Source organism: Homo sapiens, chromosome X, assembly GCF_000001405.40.
Source record: "Homo sapiens chromosome X, GRCh38.p14 Primary Assembly".
NCBI lineage: Eukaryota > Metazoa > Chordata > Mammalia > Primates > Hominidae > Homo > Homo sapiens.
This window is the reverse complement of record NC_000023.11, coordinates 133,733,608-133,761,408: the sequence shown is the minus strand read 5'-3', so window position 1 is coordinate 133,761,408 and position 27,801 is coordinate 133,733,608. Positions and strand designations below refer to the sequence as shown.

The window sequence follows — 27,801 nt, the reverse complement described above, 5'->3', positions numbered from 1 at the left end:
ATAGCAACTTATTTCTAAGCTTTGTCCATTCTAGTTAAATTAATGTGAAACATAAAATGCCAGAAAAATCTGACAGAAATTGGAGCAACACTTTTAGTGTCTTCTCTATTATTTAGTTTTTAAAATGTGAGGCTTTTCTTAGCTTGCAGTTTCTATGTGGCTGATTTCTAAAAAATCATTTAGTATTTAAAAATAACATTGAAATGTGTTACCTATTTGGCTGTTTGGGTCCATTAACCTTTTCCAGTGGTTTTTTTCAATTAAAATTACATTGATGCCATATGGCATCTATTGTATGTGAAAACTCCCTAAATCATGAAAGAAATGTCAAAGCAGATCGAGGGGGAAAAAGAGGGAGTGATTTAACACTCTTCAGTGGTTCTAGTCACTAATTCCATCAAGGGCTAATTTCCAAGATCTAGTTTTTAAAAAAAAAAATTTAAAAGATTAATAGACCTTATTTGTTTAGAACAGTTTTGGATTTAAAGAAAAATAGAGCAGTTAGTACAGAGTTTCTGTGTACTCCCTCTTCCCTGCACAGGACTTATTCTATTATTAACATTATTAGCATTAGTTTGGTACATTTGTTATGATTAATGAACCAATATTGATACATTATTATTAACCAAAGCCCATATGTTTACATTAAGGTTCATTCTTTGTATTGCATGGTTCTATAATTTTTTACAAATGCATAATGTCTTGTATCTTTCATTACAGTATCATACAGTATAGTTTCACCACCCTAAAATCCCATGCTTCACTTACTTTCCCATGTTCTCTCCCCTCTCAAATCCCTGACAACCATTGATCTTTTTAGTGTCTCTATAGTTTTGCCTTTTCCAGAATGTCATATGGTTGGAATCATATAGTATGTAGCCTTTCAGACTAGCTTCTTTCACTTAGCAATAGACATTTAGAGTTCCTTCATGTCTGTTTGTGTCTTAATCTCTCATTTCTTTTTATTACTGAATAGTATTCCAGTGTATAGATGTACCACAGCTTATTTATCCTATTGAAGGACATCTTGTTTGCTTCCAGTTTTGGTGATTATAAATAAAACTGCTATAAGCACTAGGTTTTGCTGTAGACATGAGTTTTCAAATAAATTGGGTAACCACCAAGGGACACAGCTGCTGGATCACATGGTAAGAGTATGTTTACTTTTGTAAGAAACTGCCAAGCTGCTTTATAAAGTGGCTGTACCATTTGTATTAACATTCCCTCCAGCAATGCATGAGAGTGCCTGTTGCTCTGCCTCTTTGCCATCATTTGTTGTTAGTGTTATGAATTTTAACCATTCTAATGGCTTTGTGATGGTATCTCATTGTTATTTTAATTTGCAGTTCCCTAATAACATATGATATTGAATATCTTTTTCTAGTTTTTTTTCCCCATCTGTATATCTTCTTTGGTGAGATGTCTGTTCAGATCTTCTGCCCATTTTTTAATTGGGTTGTTTTCTTACTGTTGAATTGCAAGTGTTCTTTGAGTGTTTTGGATACAAGGCCTTTATCAGACATGTGTTTTGCAAATATTTTCTCTTAGTCTGTGGCTTGTCTTTTCATTTTCTTGACATATGCTTTACTCTTCATTCTCTTAACATTGCAGAATGGATGTTTTTCTGCTTAGTGCCTGATAAGTCTGACTAATCAATTTTCAACTTCATAGATTGTGCTTTTACTGTTATATCTAAAAACTTACTGCTAAACTTAAGGTCAGTCACCAAGAACTCCCACTTTACATTCTATAAGTTTTATAGTTTTGCATTTTATGTTTATGTCTATGATATATTTGACTTAATTTTATGAAAGGTGAAAAGTCTATATCTAGATTCATTTTTTGCATGTGGATGTCCAATTGTTTCAGCACTATTTGTTGCAAAGATTATTCTTTCTCCATTGAATTGTCTCTGCTCTTTTGTCAAAGATCAGTTGATTATTGTATTTGTGTGGGTCTATTTCTGGGCTCTGTATTTTGTTCCATGGATCTGTTTTTCAATTCTTTCACCAATACCAAGCTGTCTTTATTACTGTACCTTGATGGGAATTCTTGAATTCAGGTCATGCCAGTCCTCCAACTTTGTTCTTTTGCAGTGCTGTTACAGCTATTTTGAGTCTTTTATGTTTCCATATAAACTTTACTATTGATGTCCACAAAATAAGTTGCAGGGATTTTGATTGGGATTCATTGAATTTATAGATCATGTTGGAAAGAATTGAAAACTTAATAATATTGAGTCTTTCTATCCATAAACATGGAGTATCTCTTCATTTATTAAGATATTTTTTATTTCTTTTACCAGAGTTTTGTAGTTTTCCCAATCTGTACACCTTTTATTTCCTTTTATTGTCTCATTGCAGTAGCTAGTACTTTAAGTATAATGTTGAATAGGAGTGCTGAAATAGGGACATTCTTGCCTAGTTCCTGATGTTAAGGGGAAAGCATGCAGTTGCTCACCGTTAAGCATGATGCTAGCTGTAAAATTTTTTGTGGACGTTCTTTATCAAGTGAAGAAAGTTATCCTCTGTTTCTAGTTTGCTGAGAGATTTTATCATGAATGATGTAGGATATTGGCAGGAAAAACAGCAAATGTTTTTCCTGCATTTACTCATATGATCATATGATTTTTCTTATTTAGGCTGTTGATGTGATGGATTACATTAACTGATTTTTTCCCTAGTTTTCTTTATTTTTTAATTTTATTTTAAGTTTCAGGGTACATGTGAAGGATGTGTAGGTTTGTTATATAGGTAAACGTGTGCCATGGTGATTTACTGTGCTTAGCAACCTATCACCTAGGTATTAAGCTCAGCATGCATTAGCTATTTTTCCTAATGTTCTCCCTCCCTCCCTGCCTCAACAAGCCCCAGTGTGTGTTGTTTACCCCCATGTGTCCATGTGTTCTCATTGTTCAATTCCCACTTACAAATGAGAACATGCGGTGTTAGGTTTTCTGTTCCTGCATTAATTTACTGAGGATAACAGCTTCCAGCTCCATTCATGTTCCTGGAAAGGACATGATCTTGTTTATTTTTATGGCTGCATAGTATTCCAAGATGTGTATGTACCACATTTTCTTTATGCATTCTATCACTGATGGCCATTTGGGTTGATTCCATGTCTTTGCTCTTGTGAATAGTGCTGCAGTGAACATACATGTGCATGTATCTTTATAATAGAATGATTTATATTCCTTTGGGTGTATACCAAGTATTAGGATTGCTGGGTCAAATAGTATTTCTGCCCCTAGGTCTTTGAGGAATCACCACACTGTCGTCCACAATGGTTGAACTTATTTACATTCTCACCAACAGTGTAAATGCCTTCCTGTTTCTCCACAGCCTCACCAGCAACTGTTGTTTCTTGACTTTTTAATAATTGCCATTCTGACTGGTGTGAGATGGTATCTCATTGTGGTTTTGATTTGCATTTCTCTAATGATCAGTAATCTTGAGCTATTTTTTCATATGTGTTTTGGCTGCATAAAAGTGTGCAAAGGACATAAACAGAAACTTCATGTGATATGACCAATTTTACCACAGATCCTGGCATGTACCTTGCAGTTACTTCATAAATATTACTTTTCTTCCTTCCGTTAAGGTACCTAAGCTTGAAAACAAGGACCATTTTTTATTCTAACCCATTGTGAGGCATTTATACCAGGAACATAAAAAGTTCTTAAGTATTTGCCATTCTTACAGTGCTGGAAAAATTGCCTTGAAAAAAAATAACCTGCTTCTATAAGGACTGCCTTACCCTAAAGGGCTTGAAAGAGATTCCATGGTTCATTTATTCCTCTCTTCTTCCAAACACAAGTATATTCTCCTTTTTTTAAATACCCAGCTACTACTGAAAAGGCCCATAAAAACACATTTCTTCCTGTCTGAGTCTGAATACAGGAACATCAGTATCAAATACTAAAGACAGTCATTTTGCTACAGTGATAGGTTATATGTCCTGGGGGGTAGTAGAAGTTATTGAACCATTTAAAGAGAGGTAATACCCTGATTGTACACTTCACCATCAAGCCACATCTGGAGAATTGTATCCCTTTTTGAACACCATAATTTAAGGAGGACATTGACAACACTGGAGCATGTCCAAAGGGTGGTGACCAGAATGATAATGGGGCATCTAGATATCTAGAAACCTTGCTATATTAGGACATGTATTAACCCGAATTTATTAAGTCTATTTGCCTGCACCACTTATTTTTCTTTATGTTGTAAAAAATTAGAATATTTTCTATCCAATGCCAAAATGTTCATGATAGCTCTGATTTTACATTGTTTGTTCAAATTTTTCCTGGATATAACCCTTGATTTCTTCCCAGGAAAGAGGCAGAGGGAAACCTCCCCTAGTTGAAGTGTACCTTATTATCTGACCAAAAAAATCAGTGAGCTGAACTTCTTTGCAGTAATTCTAGCCCTTGATTTCATTTCATGAAACCTTAAGTTGCCAAGAAAAGCTGAGCATTGCTTTTCGCCTAGTGTTGGTTTCTATAAGTCTCCCAGGAGCCTTTAGTTGACCAGTTATGGCTTGGTTTGTTGTCCTGTGATACAGAAGTAAGTGGGTTGGGCAAAGCCCAGAGATGTGCTAAGTGGATTCTGAGCTGCGGAAGTTGGAGCAGGGAGCACATATGAGCTTGAGGTTCAAAGTAAACCCCTAGCCCTTTTCCCCTGCAACATGCATTGTGATTATTCTTTCTGCAGAAGAGTTCATGATCTTTTATAATTTTCTTTTTCTATTGATTTAGGAGTGCTAGTAACAGAAACTTTTAAAAATGTTATGACAGTACAGTCAATGGAATCTTGCTGTTGTACATCTTGCACATTGGAGAATGAATGCACTGTACTTGAGATAAAGCTTGCCTTGTATAGAATTCATTTTAGGGATGCTTGGATGATTGAGATCTACAGGAGTGGCATATCCACAGCAGTCTTTTCCCTTCTCTTCATTCTGCACAAAGGCAAAGGTGAAAGGTGTGACTCTGCTTTGTTGGTCTTTGGGTTGCAATTTCTTCTAGTATGTTTCCATTTGAAGATGGGAAGCCAATGGGAAAATAATGAGTTTAAAATAGAACTGTACTTTCTGCAAAGGTTTTTGAGACTATATGTATTGGCTGTAGGTCGAAGGCAGCAAGCGTGTAACTGTTATGGAAGACACTAGTTTGTGCTGATTGCTTCTACTTTCCTGTGTGACCACGGGAAAATGCTTTAACTCTACTGAGCCTCAATTTTGTCGCATATAAAATGGGAGTTGTAATACCAAACTTAAAAGATTGTTGTAAAAAGTAGATGCCATAATATACTTGAGAATATTTTGTAAACTCTAAACCATATAGCTTGTGAATACTTCTGAAACAAGGATGGTTTATCATTTATCTCCATCTACCCAGCATTTATGTGCCTCTAGCACCTAGTACAGAGTCTGATATATAACAAGTGATTGCTAGCTGAAATTAAAATGAATGAATAGTTTCAAATCTCCAAATTTCTGATGATTTTAACGAATTTGTTGACTGGTCCTCTGTATTGGGCTAGATAATCTCTTGGCCTCATCCAGCTTTTAGAAAACAAGGATTGAGACTAAAGTAGCATGTGGAGTTTGGAGAGTTGTTATAAGATAGAGCAACTTTCTAGGAATTGCTTAATGTTCTAAACAAACAAACAAACAAACAAACAAAAAAACCAAGTGAACATTCAACAACTTACAGAAAGGCAGATTTTTTTTCCCCAGGGACACACAGCTGCAAAGTAATCAGTGCAAGCTAGTGTCCCTCAGAGACTGTTACACTCTCACTGCCCTCAGTACACATATACTCAAAAACCTTTTGTAGGAAGTTAAGTTTTGTTTTAAACTCATTATTTTCTCAAGTGAGCTTGGAAACCCAATAGAACTACACTGGCAATTGTTCAACATTGCTGGGCATGTCATAAGCCCAAGGGAAGAATCTAGGGAGCATGTTCTACTCTGGGAGGGATCTGGGGCAGATGGTGGTAGCACAACCTAGAGCTCACTTCTGCCACAGATGACTGAAATGTTGGACTAAGTGATCCCAAGGAACTGTTGGAGTATGGTCTCTCTAGTAGTCTAAAAGTGGTAATAATTCGATTTTTCAAGGCTCATGAACTGGCATCATTTGGAGTACATCTGTCATGGACCTTTGCACTTTGGAAGGAAATGGAAGGAAGGACTAAGTTAATTTTAAGTGTCTCAGGAAACTTGGCTATTTTTGTTTTTAAACTCTGTCTTATTTCTTCAAAAGCCTATTGTGGTTGTTTTTCCTTCCCTCATGTAAATGTAGACTCTGATTATTTGAAATAATTTGGGTCTGGGATGTTTCAGTTTGGAGAAAATGAGATGGTGACATTACTACTTTCTCTTTCAAACCAATGACACTGATTGGGCTTTATGCAAAGGGGTTGGGGCAGCAGATGTAATCATGAATTTGTGGTCTCTGTAGAGCAGATAAGGCTTCCAAGCCATGTGGAAGCTGAACTTAGCAAGGAAGCTTAGTAGTTATCCCTCCGGATGTTCAGCTTGCAAATACCAGAGGTGTTGTTTTCAATACCAAATGATAGATAAGCACATGGATTATTTTTCCACCCAGATACAAATGCATTGGATAGATTCCATTTCCAGGTCTGGCAATCTGTCAGAAAGCTCTCTTTAAAGTTATCAGGAGAAAATCTACCAAAATGATTAAATTCGTGATAGCTTTTATTCTTGGCTAGGAACTTGCCTCCCCTCCAGGGCTAAACAGGCTTAAATTGTTGTGTGAGTTTATACAATGTATGGTTTGTTGTCAAATATTTATCTCTGTCTAAAAATGAAATGTCCTGAAATACAATTTCTTTTTAACTGAATAAATCAGTGTGAGAAAGAGAAATAACTTCTCATTTAGCCAATTTTTAATCAATATTTTCATGAAAGGCCGAAATGTTAACTGAATCTTGGCTTTTGTCATTTGAAATATAATTTGTGTGTTTAAGAATTTATGTGCACATCAGAATCTGGACTTCATGTTCAGAAAGGAAAATTGATTTATAGGAGCAAACAACTGCAAGAGTAGAGGCAATGCCAGAAATGAATGAGAGTCAATTATTTAACGCAAATGGGACCTTAATCACCACAGCAATAGAGAAGTCTCAAATTCATTTTCACACTGGATTTTCATGCTTTAATTTGTACACATTTTTGTGTCTCTTTTTTTTTTTTTTTTACAGAGGCCTTTGAAATTGTTGTTCGCCATGCCAAGAACTACACCAATGCCATGTTCAAGAACAACTACCCAAGCCTGACTCCACAAGCTTTTGAGTTTGTGGGTGAATTTTTCACAGATGTGTCTCTCTACATCTTGGGTTCTGACATCAATGTAGATGACATGGTCAATGAATTGTTTGACAGCCTGTTTCCAGTCATCTATACCCAGCTAATGAACCCAGGCCTGCCTGATTCAGCCTTGGACATCAATGAGTGCCTCCGAGGAGCAAGACGTGACCTGAAAGTATTTGGGAATTTCCCCAAGCTTATTATGACCCAGGTTTCCAAGTCACTGCAAGTCACTAGGATCTTCCTTCAGGCTCTGAATCTTGGAATTGAAGTGATCAACACAACTGATCACCTGAAGTTCAGTAAGGACTGTGGCCGAATGCTCACCAGAATGTGGTACTGCTCTTACTGCCAGGGACTGATGATGGTTAAACCCTGTGGCGGTTACTGCAATGTGGTCATGCAAGGCTGTATGGCAGGTGTGGTGGAGATTGACAAGTACTGGAGAGAATACATTCTGTCCCTTGAAGAACTTGTGAATGGCATGTACAGAATCTATGACATGGAGAACGTACTGCTTGGTCTCTTTTCAACAATCCATGATTCTATCCAGTATGTCCAGAAGAATGCAGGAAAGCTGACCACCACTGTGAGTACCAGTCTACAGTTGTCAGAGGATTTGGGCCTTATTGGGGTGAGGTGGCCAGTAGCAGGTACTGATGGAGAGAAATGAGAACAAAATTGGAAGGTGGGGAAGGGGTGATGATGGACTGAATGACCTCACAGAGTTAGGCAGCATATTAAGACCACAGGCTATGCAATCGTAAAGCCTGGCTCCACCTACTTCCTTACTGTGCGATGTTGGGAAGTCATTTTATCTTTATGAGTTCATTTTTCTGATTCATGAAATAGAAATAAAAAGAATATCGTCTTCATAGGGAATGACATTTGTTAAAGCACTTAGCACGTGTCTGGTATGTGGTAAGTCTTCGATAAATGTTGGCTATTATTAGCATTATTGTCAGTTATCATAATCCTCATTATTGATACACAATAGATGACAAGCCTGTGAAGTGGGAGCTATTATCTTCATTTTATAAATGAGGAAACTGAAGCTTAAGTGAAATTGCAACTTGCCTAAGAGCACCCACGTAAAGTTAGTGGAAGAGCCATGCTTCAGAAATTGACCAGGTCTCCCTTTAATTTGGTTATCACCAATTTTTCTGATTCTAATTTCCTCTTGGTGTTTTCAATCATGTATATCACATTAGCATTTTGAGTAGTGACTTCAAACACAAAAGACCCAGCTAGAGTTCACTAATTAAACCTCACAAGCACATAAGCAAGGCAAACAATCCATGTTCTCCAATGGTTTTGTTTATAGCCTTGATTATATCAGTCTAAGTCTGATGAAATTCGTGATGGAGGAAGGGAAGTTCTGTGAGTGAGGCAGCAGTTTCCTTGGTTTCAGTCAGATATTGTTAGTAACGGAATCTCGGGAGATACCAACTTCCAATATATAGCAGAACATGTAGCCAAGAGTTACCAGTCAGTTTCCCTAAGGTAGTATCTGATTCCTGAATGCTGCCAGCTTTGTAGAAGGAGGTGGCAGAATAGTATATTACACTACCATTGTTGAGCTTCCACTACATCTCAAGTGCTATGCTGGCTAGTTTACATAATATCATTTCATAGTAACCCATGAAATCAGTCTTAATAAACCTAAAAGCTGGGTTTTGTTTTATTTTTCTGTTTTAGAAATATTCTATTTCTGCTTTCTGCTAATTATTTTTCATTGATATACAATATGTGTACGTATTTTCAGGGGACATGTGATAGTTTAATACATTCATACAATTTGTAAAGGTCAAATCAATATAATTGGGGTATCTATCACCTAAATATTTGTCTTTATGCTAGAAACATTCAAATTCTTCTTTTCTAGCTACTTTGAAATATATGTGGCCAGGTGCTGTGGCTTAAGCCTGTAATCCCAACACTTTGGGATGCCTAGGCGGGAGGGTTGTTTGAGGCTGGGAGTTCAAGACCAGTCTGGGCAACGTACAGACCCCATCTCTACCAATAAATAAATAAATAAATACAAAAAATTAGCCAGGCATGGTGGCATGCTACTGGGGGGACTGAAGTGGGAGGATCAACGCTGCAGTGAGCCATGATCACGTGACTGCACCCCAGCCTGGGCGAAAGAGTGAGACCCTGCCTCAAAAACAAAAACAAAAACAAAAACAAAAAAAACAAGAGAGAGAAAGAAATATATGATAGATTACTATACACTGTAGACACTCTACTGATCTATCAAACACTGAGTCTTATTTCTTCCTCAAAGCTAGTTAAGTCAGAGGAGCTGGGATTCAAACCCAGACTTTGTTGGCTTGGTTGATAGACACCCTTAGCATCTATACAGTGCAACTGCTGTGCACTCTGAACTATTGCTTATCCAAAATGTGGAGGGTGGATTAGGCTATTTCAGCTTGTCTTTAAACTCTAGGAGTAATTAGTTTCTTTGGTGAATTAAACTAGGAAAGAGGACAAAAATGATGCAACCCTCAGCATGGCTACTTACGGAGTTGCTGTAATTGCCCCATTCACAATGTTAGTCATTTAAAACACATTTCCTGTGAAAATATTTTATAGTAAAATGAACAAAAATGTCCTATCTAATTACGGTGTTCTTCAGTGGCTAATTATTCCCTTGACTGCTTCACAATTCAAGGCCAGGTTCTGGGGCCTTCTGCAAAAGTAAATTTTACAAAACTAGAAAAAGTAAATGCATTCATATGTTCATTCACCTAATACTGATTGAGAGCCCACTGTGTGTAAGACACAAAGAAAGCATGCCAGGGGCTTGGAAATGCTTTCAGTAAGAGGAAAATAAAGAGACAACATTAAAGACAGGGTGTAGGAGTGTTCAAAGGTTGCCTCTGATATTGGTCATTTCATAGCAACACAATTGATCTGGAAAACAAGTATCCTCCTGTGGTGCTTTTATTTATTTATTTATTTATTTATTTATTTATTTATTTATTTATTTATTTTTGAGACAGAGTCTCGCTCTGTCGCCCAGGCTGGAGTGCAGTGGTGTAATCTCGGCTCACTGCAACCTCCACCTCCTACTTCTAATCAATTCTCCTGCCTCAGCCTCCCGAGAAGCTGGGATTGCAGGCGCATGCCACCATGCCTGGCTAATTCTGTATTTTTAGTAGAGATGGGATTTCACCACATTGGCCAGGCTAGTCTCAAACTCCTGACCTCAGGTGATCCACCCACCTAGGCCGCCCAAAGTGCTGAGACTACAGGCATGAGCCACCACGCCTGGCCATGTGGTGCTTTTAAACACATGAAAAAAGGAGGTGAGGAACTTGTAAAGAATTAAGCGCACTGTTTTGATCAGGCACTAGACATGAAGGTTCATTTAGGAAACATTTATTAAACATCTGCTTTGTGTATGGCACTTTGCTAGGTGCTGGATATTCAAAACTACCCAAGAAATAGTTCTTAAGTCTTGAAAAGGTCACAGTTTAGTTGGTAGACAGACGTGTAACTGAATACATTTCACCATAGTGAACACTTCACCATAATGTGAATGTTGAAAGGGCTGTGAGAGATTAGCTAGTCCAATCCCATTGATTTACAAAGGAAGAAATAAAGTTCAGGGAGGCTTACCCAAAGTTATATAATTAATGGAGGAACCAGAAGTAGAATCCAAGGTCTTCTGCTGCTACAATGTAATACTTTCTCCATAATACCAGTCTGTCCCCGCTTAGACCCCCCTAGACTTTTACTCTAAGAGCTCCATTAGGATTTTGCAAACACGTAGTGAACCTAAATTGGATAGCAATTTCTGGCTGCCAATCCTGCTACATTTTAGGTGCATGCACATGCGTGCAGGGGGAGTGCATTTCATGTCATTATCATTCAGGAAGAAAGGCTTTGGCTGTCAAGAGGTGCTCAGTGATGCAGGCCCTTTCTGTTTTGGCCTTTAAGGGCCTGATTGCTCCCAGCTCCCAGCTGGTTATGAGAGTGTGAATTCTGCCATCCCCGGGGAATGCCTGAACTAAACCAGAAAACATATGTAAACTCTGCCTTGTTCATGTTTTATGATCACCAACTCTAAGTAATACGTACCAAATGGTGGGGGTAGGGGAATCACTGGCCAGATGTGATCCAACCCATACTCAGTACGGGTCAAAAAGGGACTGGGCATTTATGAGGGCGAGGGGGAGTCGGAGCTGCAGAACTCTATTCACATTAACAAACCCACAGAATGCCCCAAAGCAAAAGCTGGTTTAAAACTAAAGCTTTAATGAGATTCTCCAGTAGCACCCTAACCTTCCTGTTGCGATAAAATGTAAAACCCTGCCATTCAGTCCTGCTTGAGGTTCAGTTGTGGTGAGAGACTTCTTTAAAAATATCCTCTTCCTGAGCTCTGCTGGGATATCCTTTCGAGCTGGCTTTAAGCCATGACATGAGGTCTGCCACACAGAGACTTTGCCTAGTTGTTTTTGTGGCTGTCATCTACCCAGATTATGAAGATTGTTTTGGTCTTCTAAGTGAGTGTGGTACTGTTCGTTTTTTTAAGTGTGGCTTGTTGGTGCTTTAGTTTTCTCTAGCATAGTTCTCAATACTTCAGACTACCAAGTGAAGGCAGGCAGACAAATACTGGGGTGTTGTCGCTGGCAGCACCACTGGAGGTGGTAAAGGATCCTGTTCTCAAACTCGGCTCATCATCACAATCACCTGGGTTACTTGTTAGACACATTCCTGGAGTCCACCCCTGCAGAGATTCTAATACCAAAGGTGTGTGAAGAGATCAGATGATTTTGTTTCGTTTTGTTCTCTTTTGTTTTTTGAGACAGGGTCTCACTCTGTCACCCAGGCTGGAGTGCAGTGGCTCGATCTTGGCTCACTGCAACCTCCGCCTCCTGGGCCCATGCGATTCTCATGCCTCGGCCTCCCGAGTAGCTAGGATTACAGGCGCGTGCCATAATACCTGGCTAATTTTTTGTATTTTTTTTGTAGAGACGGGGTTTCACTATGTTGGCCAGGCTGGTCTCGAACTCCTGGCCTCAAGCAATCCACCTGCCTCAGCCTCCCAAAGTGCTAGGATTACAGGTGTGAGCCACCGTGCCCAAATTATTTTTTATTTAAGAAATGTCCCAGTTGATTCTGATGCTCCCTTGGGAGCAAATCCAGCCACCTCGTTTCGAAGATAAAGAAAATAAGCCCCAGAGGTTGGAAGTGAATGGCCTAAGTTCCACAGGCAATTAGTGGCAAAGCTAGGACCTTGAATTCTTCATCTATAAAATGGGGTCAAGATATGGCGATTAAATGCAGTGTTAGGTTCAGGAACATGGCAAGTATTCACTAAGTCCCAGTCCAGTACTCTTTCTTACTACAGTGATCTAAGTGCCAAATGAAAAATGAGTTTTTCTTAAACATATTTTTAGGTGCCAAGATATCTTAATGTTATTTTAGTCTAAACGAAGTAAATAAAAATAGTATGTGTGAGAATGTATGTGTGTGAATACATGTGTTGGGGGGAAGAGAGATGGAGGGAGGGGGAAAGAGAAGATTTGTGCTGAAAAGTCCAAGAAAGTATTAATGATGAGACTATAAATAGATCCGTTTTGCAAACTGAGATAAATATCTATACAAACTAGGATAAATATCTTGGCCCCAAGTGAGAATTGAATAGATCTTTAACAGTATTTGGGTGAAAGTATCACTGTTAAATTTATCAGTGCATTATTGAATTCCACATCTTATACCTTAAAGCAACTGCAAATATGTACCATTTTGCAATACATATATTTTCAGTGTTGTTACACCCAAACTGCTGAGTGCCACAGCTTCTTTTTAAAATATGACTGTTTTTATCCTGAAAACCATTTTGATTGCTGTTACCATATACCTATGTGTGGACTATATGCATAGCCATTGCCCATTTCATGTATAATTCATCCATTTACTAAATGATTAATAATTAGCATGTTGGATGTTTATCCCTCTCCTGGAAACTTTCCCAAAACTTTCTGTAATTTTGTTTACTTCCTTTAATCCCCAAAATAACTACTCACATGTCTTCACATGGTGGTTTGCACTTTTATTTTTCTACTTGTACACACATACATACTTTATTGATTCATCTCAGCATTTCTCAGAGTTAGTGCTTCCTCTCCCACAATTTCATTACCTTGGCTTGTTCTATGCTTCCTTGAATATTGTGTAGAATTGCAACCTTTTCTACCACCATTACTTCTCCCTTTCTTTTTTCGTTGTGATATTCATTTTAGCACTATCTGAAATACGATTCGTTGCAGGAAGCATTTATTGAGCATCTAATAATGGAAGCACTATGATAGCCACTGGGGATCAGAGGGAGTAGCTGGAAAGATGCACATGACTCTGTTGTGTTGCCCTCAGCGGTCACTTGGCTAGTAGGTGGCAGAACTAGTATTTAAAGCTGAACCTGTCTGACTCAAAAGCTCATGCTCTTAACCATTACTCTATATTGCTCTCTCAAGCAGTTCCATTCTCTTCAGCAGAATCTTTTTTCCCCAAACACAGACTAAGTAGGTTTTTATTATATTATTTAATATCCTGTATTACTCCCTACTGTTTTTCCAGCTGCACAATCAGTTTCTGAATTCATTCTCCCTCCTTGGAGACTTTTGCTCTAGTATTTCCCAATGAAGTACTAAAAGGCATGAGATTTACATCTTCCTAACACTTAAAGGAACAGTGTAGTTTCATGGAAAAGAAGGAATGTTTGTGCAGGTGATGGAAGGTCCAGTCACACAGTCAGATGACTTGGCCTAGAATCTATGTGAGCAGTGCCGGTGGTGAGAAAGAGGTTCTCTTCCACTTGCAAAGTTGGAAATCTGCCGATTGGACCAACACATAGTTTTTAATGCATCTGCCTTTGATTCCGGACAGTAGAAGAACATCAGATCTCCAGTACGGAGTGTCCTTGGTATTTAATAATAGTAACATTGCCTACTGAGAACCTAACGTATCCAAATACATCCATTTCCTTTGCTAGGATTTCTGAGGTCAGTATTTATTTTTGTGTGCCAGGAAGCTCTGGGGAAGATTCTCTGTTGATCCTCAATAATAATTAACTCCATCAAACTCTTATATTTTGCTGTCAGTGTGAGTGACTGTAACTCGTCAGAATTTCCAAGATTAGCCTTACCTTCCTCTCCACTGTTGAAGGCTGAGGTTATTTCTCAGGTGTCAGAATGTCAGTGTTTTTCTCCTCATGCTATCACTTTGGACTTTCATTTTTCAGTCTCAGATAGAGATACCTTGTCTGAATTCATACAAGCTGTTTTCAGTACCAAGTGATTTGAAAGTGATAAAAAGAAGTAAATGGCTCACTACCTAATTAGTGTCTGCAGGTCAGCCTCTAGAACAATGGTAAGCAACTTTACTTACACAAGGTTTATTTCTGGAAAGACAAAAACTGTTTACAGGTTGCCATCATTTTTTCATTCACAATCAAAATAGCTTCAGTGATTTCCATGGAGAAAATACGTAGTTTTAAAACACACATTACCTATTTATTGCAAGAATACAAATGAAAAAATTGGCACCATGTTTTAGGCAATAAATGTTAACTTTATGGTAGGTTTCAAAAAGTGGTTACATAAGGGGAGCTTTTTAAAAATGTTTCATCCTGAAATTATACGTATATTACAGGTCATATTAAGAAATTAGATGGGTTCTTCATAAATCTAGAATTGCTTGCCCTTGCCTTGGCATAATCGCCAGTTGCTTATATGTTCTGAATTTTTAGAGAGAAATTTTACATCCTTTCTGTGGTCAGTGGACTGATGTGGCAGGAACACATCCTCAAGAGCTGTGAAAGATCTGAGATTTTTACCCTGATTGCAAGCAAACAAGCTAGCCTACTGCAGTTTCATCGATGTTAGTTAATGGCATAAGACTCCTGAGTCAGAGATGAAGGACAGTTTATTGCTTACAGCAATAGCAGCAGCCAGAGTATTAGCATTTGTGCCAGATCCCTGAGTCCCAATTCCCACAGGGTAAGGCAAAGAGAGCTGAATGACTCCTGTACACATAGTGAGTTGTATTATAGGAGAGAAACTTTGAACTTAGGGAACTCAAATATTTTATAATAGATGGTAAGCCCACCTGCTGTTTACTCTAAAGGGAAACATCATCTCTATCTTCCAAGGCTGTTGGCTATACAAAGATACTTGAAAAGGATAGTCTGAAACAAAGGGTAGTCAGTTCGTCTGTTCCTAAGACATGCCAAAGCACAAGAGATCCATGGAGAATTGTCTTCCAACACATGGTCCCCCACCCTTGGATGGCTCCAAGAACTTTTCAAGTTCTCAATGCTTTTGGAGGATCTGGCAAGGAAATTAGAAGTTAGTAAAAGACAGTTAGCTCAACCCTGACTGATTGGCCAAAAAGCAGGCCCATGTGCCACCTGTTGGAGGGTAGCAGAAGGCATATCTAAATACTGAGAACAGTGGCAGTTTTCTCAGCTCTTCAGAGAATACTTTAAAGAGAAAGTATCAAAGAGGCACCTGTTTGTTGCTTCTCATTAGCAGTAAATTCTGCTACTGTGGGCCTCCAGCTACTCCACTGCTCTCTTTCAGTCTCTAAGCTGTCATTTCCTTTCTTGCTCTGTTCAGGCTATAGGGTTGGGAGTTTTGTGTTGCTAAGTGACTTGGCTGAATTAAGTTTTCTCTTTTATTGAACTTCTAGGGTGAAGCATTGTGATGACCACAGAGTGGTAGGCACATGCTTATCCATGCCTGCTGGCAGTGACACTCAGAGTGTATTCAGAAAGGTCAGAAAGCCAGGGATATTTGCCCAAGTAGGCAGAAGTCCAAGAAGATCTCACCATGGCCTGATATTCTGAGTACCCCTGTGGTCCTGAGACAACAGTGAGGGAGCCAACAATGCCTTTTTTTAAATAAACTTTAAATTCTGGGATACACGTGCAGAACATGCAGGTTTGTTACATAGGTATACGTGTGCCATGGTGGTTTGCTGCACCCATCAACCTGTTATCTACATTAGGTATTTCTCCTAATGCTATCCCTCCCCAACCCCCCACCCACCGACAGGCCCCGGTGTGTGATGTTCCCCTCCCTGTGTCCATGTGTTCTCATTGTTCAACTCCTACTTATGAATGAGAACATATGGTGTTTGGTTTTCTGTTCCTGTGTTAGTTTGCTGAGAATGATGGTTTCCAGCTTCGTCCATGTCCCTGCAAAGGACATGAACTCCTCCTTTTTTATGGCTGCATAGTATTACATGGTGTATATGTACCACATTTTCTTTATCCAGTCTAACATTGATGGGCATTTGGGTTGGTTCCAAGTCTTTGCTATTGTGAACAGTGCAGCAATAAGCATACATGTGCATGTGTCTTTATAGTATAATGATTTATAATTCTTTGGGTATATACCCAGTAATGGGATTGCTAGATCAAATGGTATTTCTGGTTCTAGATCCTTGAGGAATCGCCACACTGTCTTCCACGATGGTTGAACTAATTTACACTCCCACCAACAGTGTAAAAGTGTTCCTATTTCTCCACATCCTCTCCAGCATCTGTTGTTTCCTGACTTTTAAATGATTGCCATTCTAACTGACGTGAGATGGTATCTCATTGTGGTTTTGATTTGCATTTCTCTAATGACTACTGATGATGAGCTTTTTCTCATATGTTTGTTGGCCACATAAATGTCTTCTTTTGAGAAATATCTGTTCATATGCTTTGCCCACTTTTTGATGGGTTATTTGTTTTTTTCTTGTAAATTTGTTTAAGTTCCTTGTAGATTCCGGATATTAGCACTTTGTCAGGTGGACAGATTGCAAAAATTTCTCCCATTCTGTAGGTTGCCTGTTCACTCTGATGATAGTTTCTTTTGCTGTGCAGAAGCTCTTTAGTTTAATTAGATCCCATATGTCAATTTTGGCTTTTGTTGTCATTGCTTTTGGTGTTTTAGTCATTAAGTCTTTGCCCGTGCCTATGTCCTGAATGGTATTGCCTAGGTTTTCTTCTAGGGTTTTTATGGTTTTAGGTTTTACGTTTAAGTCTTTAATCTACCTTGAGTTAATTTTTATATAAGGTGTAAGGAAGGGGTCCAGTTTCAGTTTTCTACATATGGCTAGCCAGTTTTCCGAACACCATTTATTAAATAGGGAATCATTTCCCCATTGCTTGTTGTTGTCAGGTTTGTCAAAGATCAGATGGTTGTAGATGTGTGGCGTTATTTCTGAGGCCTCTGTTCTGTTCCATTGGTCTGTATATCTGTTTTGGCATCACACTGCCTGACTTCAAACTATATACTACAAGGCTACAGTAACCACAATGCCTTTTTAAAAAGATGTCGAGTGGCTAGGGAATCAGAGTACAGTGAAAGTAGCCTCCTACCTTGTGGGGGCAGAAAAGCCCCTGGATACTTGCTCCCTTCATTAGAAAAGCTGAAATGCCACACAAAACAGAGTCATATACACTGTGATTTCCCTGTGATTAAATTTCCCCCACTTGGAGCAAGGTTCCTCTTGGCGAGTGTAGTTCTGCATTATCCACTCACAATGGCACCACAAGTAACCTTGGCTCACTGACCTCTTATGCCCATGCATTTTGCTATCTTGCTCAGGTATCTGGCAGAAAAATGTTTTCTAACTTGACTGTTTCTTAAAAGGACCATTCGTCCTGCCCCTACCTTAAAAATGGAAAACATATTCGAATATCACAGAAGCATTTTTTAATGAAGTTGCACTGTCCTATAGTAATTTCCTCAAGGGAGGTGGCAATTTTAATACTTGCTGTAATAAAGAATTTTACAAAAGTCAAAGATAAGGGAATTCTGAGCAGATGTCTTCCAGCATGTTGCAGCCTTTGGAAGATAAAATACAAATTTCATCATTACCAGCAACCACAATTTTCTGAGTGCTGAGTGCTGAGCACTGTTCTAGGTCTTACAGTTTACCTTTCCCTTCCTTGTCCGGGGGACTGTTAATGGGGTAAAACAAATAGCCTTTGTTTTGGTGAAATTACAGATTTCTTAATGTCCTTTTAAAATGCCCCTTTGGGAAGTACATAATCCAGCAAGGCTGCTTTCTTATTTCATACGGGGGGTGAGGGGAGGGTTGTTGCTGCCTCCTTATTACCCAATTCAAATTCATTCTGAAGAATATTCAGAAAGTGAATTAATTTTTCCCTTTTTCGTTCCACTCAGAATGCCTAAAACAGATAAAGTAGGAAGCAGAGTCATTATATTTGGGTGCTGTCTATTATCATTTACTGAGAATCTATCTAAGCCTTTCTGCTTTTTGCAGATAATTAATTTTGTTCCTAAATGTAGGGAAGAGTGATTGTAATCAGTGTGTTTGTACTTTCAGCCACAAATAGAGCCCATCAAAGATATGCAGTACAAATAAACCTCATAAAATATGCAGCCCAAGTACTGCTCAAAGTTAATGTTCTATCTTTTTTTCCAAAGAAAAAATTTTATACACGTTATATGATTTTTAAAAGTCATTCTTGGTATTTTCATATAGTTAATAGATGGGCCCCTCTTTTTCAAACTCAAACCTATGCTGTGAATTATTTTTTATCATTAAATCTCATGTAGTGGAGCTGAAGGAGACTGATTTGGCTTAGAAATCATCTCAGCAACATATACACATTACTGAGTTCTGGGTGTGGGTTTCTCTTATGCTTCCAGAAAATAATGAATGATCAGATCTAAGTTACAGGCTCAGTTTCATGGATGAAACCCCACACTAAGAGCATGGTGTTTGTGAATGAGTTCCTCTGAACTCTTTTGGAAAGCTTTTGCCCTTCTATCCCAGCTGCCTGTCCCCAACCTCTGGCCAATGCCTACACTAAGCCCATCCCTTTTCCTTCTGCTTCAGATTTGTACCTTGCTCTGTTCTGTTCATTCAAACCCTGTACTTTATTTAGAGTGGTGATGTGTGATTATGGTTTAGTCATCACAGGAAGCCCATTTCTGCTTCTACTAGTTCTCTAATGCATTCCTTCTCTTGAGAAGCAAACTTCATTAGCAAAGTTATCGCTAGAAAACTCTTAAAAAGGATTATTGAAAAAGGTAGATCTCAGTCACTGTGATGCAGTTGTAGGGAGAAATATTTAAGTGTATGTGGGACCTTATGAAATTACCTACTATACATTGTAAGTTATAAAGAACATTCATTCAGAATTTTGATACAGGATCTTTGCCTTGTGCTGCCACAGGCAAGTGGCCTGCGAAAAGCAACTTCTTAGTGTCTGTTCCTTAATCTATACAACGAGGAAGATGATGACAAGAGTGATTATTTAATAAGCACTTGCTATGTGCCTCACACAATTCTAAGCTCTTTACATGGATCAGCTCATTTAAAGTTTACAATACTAATGAGACGGGGATTATCATTACCTTTTTCCTAGTTAAAGAACTGAGACAGAGAGACTTGGAAGCAGGTGCCAGCAACAAGGCAGCTTCAGCTAATTGCTCTCTACTGCAGCAACTTTTGAGGTACATCTCTTGCCCAGAACCAGACCCAGTCTTAGAATATATGGGCATGGCTTGGCCTTGTCTGCAGATGGATATAAGCTGACTCAGTTGTCTGGAATGAGGCAGGATGGGGAGCCAGAAGTTATTAAGGGTCTTTCATTCTTGCCTACTCTTTCAGTTACTATTCATCCTGTTTTCTACGTGTGGCCTTGAGAATTGCATGGAAACTTCCAATGGGCTTAGCTTTTCTTCTCTGCTTTTCTTCATATTTGTATTAATTAATCCTAATTAAAGTTTTCTTTCTTTTTTTTTTTTTTTTGGCTTAAACAACAGAAGTTTATTTTCCCACAAATCCAGGGGTTGAAAGTCCAAGATCAAGGTTCTGGCAGATTCAGTCTCTGGCAAGGGCTTTCTTCTTGGCTTGCAGATGGCTGCCATCTCATTCTGTCTTAACATGGCTTTCCCTTGGTGCATGTGAACCCTGTGGGGAAAGAGGAGGACATAGAGAGAGACAGAGAGAGAGAGCATAACCTCTCTGGTATCACTTCTTATGAAGACACTAATCCTATTAGATCAGGGCCCCACACTTATTCAGAGATGAGGCCTCTAATGAAGTGATTAAGATTAAATGAGCTAACTAAATTTTTCTAAATTTGCTTGGAGTTCAGGCCTCCCCCAGAATCAGGGCCTATTTCATTTACGTTTTTTTAAAACAAACAAACAAACAAACAAACAAAAAACCCACACATTCATTCTTGATGAGCTTTTTGAAAAAATACTTTAAAAAAGTATTTTAAAAAGTATTTAAAAGTATTTAAAAAATACTTTAAAAGATATAGGGCTTCTACATTTTCTCTCTTTCAGATCAGAAATCCTAAGAATTGTGAAATACCAAGCTCTGTGTCTTTCTTATTCTGTTTTAAACCCTGTAATGATCTCTTTCCATACATGGAAGGAGTTCCCTATTAACTAAGTTTCTGATTTACTCAACTGCTTATTCCTCTTAACAAATTATTAATGCAAAATGAATGAGTTTCTTGACTGTAGCAACCTGCTAGCATATTTTTTTAAAAAATTGTGAACCCTTTAAATAATCTTTGAGCAGTTTCTTCACAAGTTCTAGACAAAAAAGCAGGGAACTAAACTAATGTCCTTACTCTGGTTAAAAATAAAGCAATAATTGTGACAAATTGGTATAATCAGACTTGACAGATAGAAGCTATAGAATTCATGTTAGATTTCTATCAGTCTGAAAAGGATGTTAACAATTCCCAGATCACAGAGAGTGAAAGAATACACAGTGGTGGAAACGTTTTCCTCACACATCTGTGTTTATCAAGTTTTAAAGTCTGTTTCCTCCCCTACCATTTCTCCTGAATCTGTAATACATTGATTTAAAAACAATTAATGCATGACTCAAACTGCTCTGCTCTGAAAGGCCCCATTCAGAATTGTCTCGGTTCTGGTTAGCATTGACCGAAAACTCTATGAGATACCAGGAATAATAAATTACAACAAACATTCATTTTTAATGGCACCATAGAGATTTTTAAGAGCAAACCTTTCTAGATGGAAAGCTGAGTCAATACCCTGCACAGGAATGGATCGGCTTGGCATTGCAAGGAGCAGAGGAAGAAAAGGTTGTGTGATGCAGTGAAAAGAACATGGGCTTCAGGAGTTAAAATGTGACTTTCTCTCTCTCTGTTTTTTAATTTATTGAGACAAAGTCTCACTGTGCTGCCCAGGCTGGAGTGCAGTGGCGCCGTCTCGGCTCACTGCAACCTCTTCCACCTGGGCTCAAGTGATCCTCCCACCTCACCCCTTGCCCCATGCCATAAGTGGGACTACAGGTGTGCACCACCATGCCTGGCTAATTTTTGTTTTGTTTTGTTTTGTTTTTGTTTTTGTTTTTTTTTTAGTAGAGACAGGGTCTTGCTATGTTGCCCAGGCTGGTCTCAAACTCCTGGGCTCAAGTGATCCTCCCACCTCAGCCTCCCAAAGTGCTGGGATTACAGGCATGAGCCACTACATCTGGCCAGACTGTGAATTTCTATTCAGCTGTTCTTTTTCTTAGTGACCTGAACATGTAGTATAATCTCTGAGCCTTGGTTGCTTCAACTATAGAATGGGGATAAAAATACCAACCTCGCAGAACTACTATGAAAATTTTGCAACAATGCCTACCACGTGGCAGCACTATAAAATCTGACATGTAACATGATCTATTTAATCTGCTGTGAGGCAAAATAGCCTTTTCTTCCTAGGCCTTCTCTCACATGGAGGCACTCATCTTTGGGGTACTCTCATTAGTAGCACCATCATTGATAAATATTTACCCGACTTCTGTGACAAAGGCCCTATGTCAGGAGCTGCCAACACAAATACACTAATATCCCCATGTCCACAGAGAGATATGTTCCAAGACACCCAGTGGATGCCTGACTCCCAGTGGATGCCTGAAACCACAGATAGTTCCAAACCCTATATATACTGTGGGTTTTTTTTCCCTATACATACCTACCTGTGATAAAGCTTATTATAAATTAGGCACACTAAGACAGTAATGACAATAACTAATGATGATAAATAGAACAACTCCACCCTTTCCTACTGAAGTTCCTGCTAGTCTTTGCATTCAGAAATTGCTGTGTCTCTGAACAAGTTTATTCAGCATGTATGGCTGTAGTCCTCTGCTTCTATTTGCCCAGCCTTTGCCACTAATAACCAGGAGAATCAATCATATCCCCCAGATGTTCGGATAAATTGATTCACAGCCAAGCAGACCAAGTTGAACACACAGGTTTTGTAACTACTCACAGTGGTCTTCACAGAAGACTCATGAATAAAGGGCAGTGTGATATATCTGGATTCCCTATGGGGATTTTTAGCATTCATCTTCTTTTGCTCGGATTTAGTGCTGAAATCCCTGGGAATAGAGGGAAGACTCAAGCTGTGTTTATGGCTCCTTTGTTTTGGAGTGTGAATTGTGCAGTATAATGCTAAATTGCTTTTGCTGGGTACCACTGTTAAATGATGATTAAATTTAGGTTGGGTATAAAAATGAATAGATGTCTATTACAAATCTTTGGGATAATTTAATGATATCTCCTTGTTTTAGATATTTTCCTTTTATTGGGTCCTTAAATTTACTTGTCTGTTCTTATCTATCCTGCCTACTAAGAGTCTTTCCTCTTTTATAATGAATCACAACTACCTTTCTGACTCTTGGGATTACGGGTTATCACTGTTTCTTTGATGGAAGGAAAGGGAGAAAGCAATGACAGTGGGAGTGAAGGGAGTTTAACAGGAGTACAAGGAAGATGAAAGGTGAATCACAGGCCTGGTGCAATGGCTCACGCCTGTAATCCCAGCACTTTGGGAGGCTGAGGCGGGAGGATCCCTTGAGCCCAGGAGTTCGAGACCAGTGGCAACATAGCGAGACCTTGTCTCTACAAATAACAACAACAAAAAGTAGCTGGTGTTCTGGTGCATGCCTGTGGTCTCAGCTACTCGGGAGCCTGAGCGGGGAGGATTGCTTGAGCCTGGGAGGTTGAGACTGCAGTGAATTGTGATCACACCACTGTACTCCAGCCTGGGCAACAGAGTGAGACCCTGTCTGAAAAGAACAAAAAGTGAATCAGATCATTTTGAAAATGATTTTTTTTCCAGACATATGTCTTCTGCAGTATTTACTTAATGTTATCATTGCCCCACTCATGCTGCCACAACACAAATGTCACAAATTCTAGATTTTAAAAATATAGAAAAACATTATGTCTCAACTATGATATATTTGCCATTTTCTTAAATCAAACAGCAGTTTTAGTATGTGAGACTACTATTCTCTCTTCATCCCCTAGTATACCTCATCTTACACGTAATAGGTATTTAATTTTTCTCTTAAATCAAGAAATCAAGCTAAAGGGGTGTGGAGTTCATCCTTGGGAGAGTGAGGAGCCATTGAGACCATATGGAATGTGGATCTCCACCTACAAAATCAGAAGTATAAGAAAGAGTGCTCTTTTATTTATGTTTTTGCCCTTCTTTTTTTGTTTGTTTGCTAATAGACTTTCTTTTTTACAGTGCTTTCAGATTTGTAGCAAAATTGAGCAGAAATTACAGAGCGTTTGTTTATACCTCTTACCTCCTCCACACACACACCCTCCCTCACTAGCAATATCCCTCACCAGAGTGGTACATTTGTTACAATGGATGGACCTACATTGACACATCATTATCACCCAAAGCCTGTCATTTACATTAGGTTTCACTCTTGGTGTGGCACATTCTTTGGGTTTTGACAAATGTATAATGGCATGTATCCACCATTCTAGTATCATGCAAAATTGGTTCACTGTTATAAAAATGTTCTGTGCTTCACCTGTTCATCCCTCCCTCTCCACTAACCTCTGATAACCACCGACCTTTTTACTGTCTCCATGCTTTTGCCTTTTCCAGAATGTCACATAGTTGGAATTATACTATTTTCACATTAGCTTCTTTCACTTAGTAATATGCTTTTAAGTTTACTCCATGTCTTTTCGTGGCTAGATAGTTCATCTCTTTTTAGTGTTGAATAATATTTGTTTGGAGCATCTTTTACTTTTATATTAATTGAATTTCAAGTCCTAATCATTATTCCCATTGCATTAGTGGTAAATTATACCTCATTACTTCTTTTTAAAAACAGCTTTATTGAGATGTAATTCATATAGAATACAATTCATCAATTCAACTATTTCAAATGTGCAATTCATTGGTTTTTAGTATATTCATGGAGCTGTGCAACCATTACCATAATCAATATTAGAAGATTTGCATCACCCCAAAAGGAACTTAGTACCAGTTAGCTATTACTCCCCTATTACTCTCCATCTCCCCTGTCCCCCATACCTGGCAAAAACTAATCTGGCTATCTGTCTCTATAGATTAGTCTGTTCTGAACATTTTACATAAATGGAATCATAAAATATATGGCCTTTTGCATCTGCCTCTTTCAGTTAGCATGTTTTCAAGGTTCAGTCACATTGTAGCATGGATCACCACATTACTTTTTATGGATGAATAATATTCCATTGTATGTATATACCACATTTTGTTTGTCTATTATCAGTTGATGGACATTTGGGTTTCTTCCACTTCTTGGTTATTATGAATAGTGTTGCTATGAACATTTGTGCACAGATCTTTGTGTGGATGTATGTTTCATCTCTCTTGGGAATATACCTAGCAGTAGAATCATGGGTCATATGGTAACTCTATATTTACCTTTTTGAAGAACTGCCAAACTGTTTTCCAGTGAAGCTGAGCAATTTAACTTTCCCACCAACAATGTGAGGGTTCCAATTTCTCCACATCCACACCAACAATTGTTATTATCTACCTTTTTCTATTACAGCCATTGTAGTGGATTTTAAGTGGTATCTCATTGTAGTTTTAATTTGAATTTCCCTTATGATTAATGATGTTGGGTGATTTTCATGTGCTTATTGGCCAGATCTTTTTTGGTAAAACGTCTATTGAAATCTTAAATTTTAAACTGGGCTATTTGTCATTTCATTGTTCAATTGTAAGGATTATTTACATATTCTGGATACTAGACCCTTATCACATACATGATTTACTTTTTTTTTTTTTTTAAACAGGGTCTCACTATGTCATGCAGGCTAGAATGCAGTGGTGTGATCACATCTCACTGCAGCCTCAAACTCCTGGGCTCAAGCAATCCTCCCACCTCAGTCTCCCAAGTAGCTGGGACTACAGGCACACACCACCACACCAGGCTAATTTTTGTATTTTTTGTAGAGATGAGGTTTTACCATGTTGCCCAGGCTGGTCTTGAACTCATGGGCTCAAGCAATCCACCCCCCTCAGCCTCCCAAAGTGTTGGGATTACAGGTGTGAGCCACTGCCCCCAGCCTATAATTATTTTCTCCTATATTCTGGGATGTCTTTTCACTTTCCTGATAATGTCTTTTTAACTCAAAAATTATGATTTTGATGAAGTTCAATTTATATATTTCTTTATGTGTCATATCTAAGAAATCACTGCCTAATCCAAGGGCATAAAGATTTATACCTATGATTTCTTCTAAGAATTTTATAGAATCAGCCCTTAAATATAGGTCTATGATTCATTTGAGCTAATTTTTGTATATGGTATGAGGTAGTGGCACAACTTCATTCTTCTATATGTGGATATCCTTTTGTCCCAAGTTCCATTTGTTGAAAAGACTGTTCTTTCCCCCATGAATTGTCTTGGCACTATCATCAAAATTCAATTGACCATAAATGTATGTAGGGTTTTTTTTGACTCTCAATTCTATTTTATTGATCTCTATGTCTATCATTATGCCAGTGCCATGCTGCTTTGAATACTTTGTAGCAAGTTTTGAAAATGGGAAGTGTGAGTTCTCCAACTTTGCTCTTCTTTTCAAGATTGTTTTGGCTATTTGGGGCCCCCTGCAATTCCATATGAATTTTATGAGCAACTTGTCAATTTATGCAAAGAAGTCAGCTGAGATTTTGATAGCGATTGTGTTAAATCTGTAGATAATTTAGGAGGTATTGCCATCTTGACATTAAGTCTTCTAATATATTAATGTCTTTTCACTTATTTATATCTTTAATTTCTTTCAATGATGTTTTGTAGTTTTCAGTATAAAAGCCTTGCACTTCTTTTGCTAAATTTATTCCTAAATATTATCATCTTCAAGTTATTGTAAATGGAATTGTTTTCTTAATTTCATTTTGGGTTATTTATTGCTAGAGTACATAAATTGATTTTTGCATACTGATCTTGTACCCACTAGCATTACTGAACTTGTTTATTAGTTTTAATTGTGTGTGTGTGTAAGTGAGTGAGAGAGAGAGAGAGAGAGATTGTCAGTCTTTGGTGTTTTCTATACACAAGATAACATTATCTGCAAATACAGATGCATATACAGTTTCATTTCTACCTTTCTGACCTGTATGCATTTTCTTTCTTTTTCTTTCCTTCCCTTCTTCCTTCCTTCCTTCTCTCTTTTTTTTTCTTCTTTCCTTTTCCTTTCCTCATTGCTCTGGCTTGAACCTCCAGTACAATGTCAAATAGAACTAGCAACAATGGATATCCCTGTCTTTTTCCTGATTTTAGGTGAAAAGCCTCAGTCTTTTCCCATTAAGTATAGTATTAGCTGTGACTTTTTTATAAATACTCTTTTTCAAGTTGAGGAAGTTCCTTTGTATTCCCAGTTTTTTGATTGTTTTTATTATCATCAAAGCATGTTGGATTTTATTAAATCCCTCTTTAGAAACTGATGAGATAATCATGGGAATGTATCCTTTATTCTATTGATATGATATATTACATTGATTACCAGATGTTAAACCAACCTTGCATTTCTGGGATAAATCTCGCCTGGTCATGGTATATGATGCTGTTTATATTTTGCTGGATTCAATTTGCTAGGATTTTGTTGAAGATTTTTATATCTGTCCTTATGAGAAATATTGGTCTATAGTTTGCTTGTGATTTTTGTCTGCTTTTGGTATCAGGGTAATACTGGCTTCATAGAATGACTTGGGATGTATTCCTTCCTCTTCTAAAGATCTTCTATTTGGAAGAGTTTCAGAAGGATTGGTATTAACTGTTCTTTAAATGTTTTGTAGAATTTGCCAGTAAGGCCATCTGATCCTATGCTTTTTTTTGTGGAAAGTTTTAAAAGTATTAACTCAAACTCTTTGTTATAGGATTATTCTAATTTTTTATTTCTTCCTGAGTCAGTTTTGATAGTTTTTAGAAATCATTTTGGAATTTGTACATTTCACATCTGCTATCTAATTTGTTGGCATACAGTTTTTTTTAATATTCTCTTATAATTCTTTTTATGTATATAAGGCCAGTAGTAATGTCCCCCCTCTTTCATTCCTGATTATAGTAATTTGAGTATTTTCTCTTTTTTTGTTGGTCAGTCTAGCTAAAGGTTTATCAAACCTGTTGATCTATTCATAG

The 27,801-nt window shown here is 38.0% G+C and overlaps 1 protein-coding gene across 5 annotated transcripts in view; it reads left to right on the top strand.

Moving 5' to 3' along the window:
• The window catches only part of GPC3 (glypican 3), a 449,850-nt gene that overhangs the window by 224,186 nt on the left and 197,863 nt on the right, over positions 1-27,801 (top strand). For all 5 annotated transcript variants that reach the window (NM_001164619.2, NM_001164618.2, NM_004484.4 and 2 more), the window contains one exon: positions 7,233-7,927. In NM_001164619.2, the coding sequence (NP_001158091.1) occupies positions 7,233-7,927 (695 nt within the window). The remainder of the gene's footprint in view (positions 1-7,232; positions 7,928-27,801) is intronic.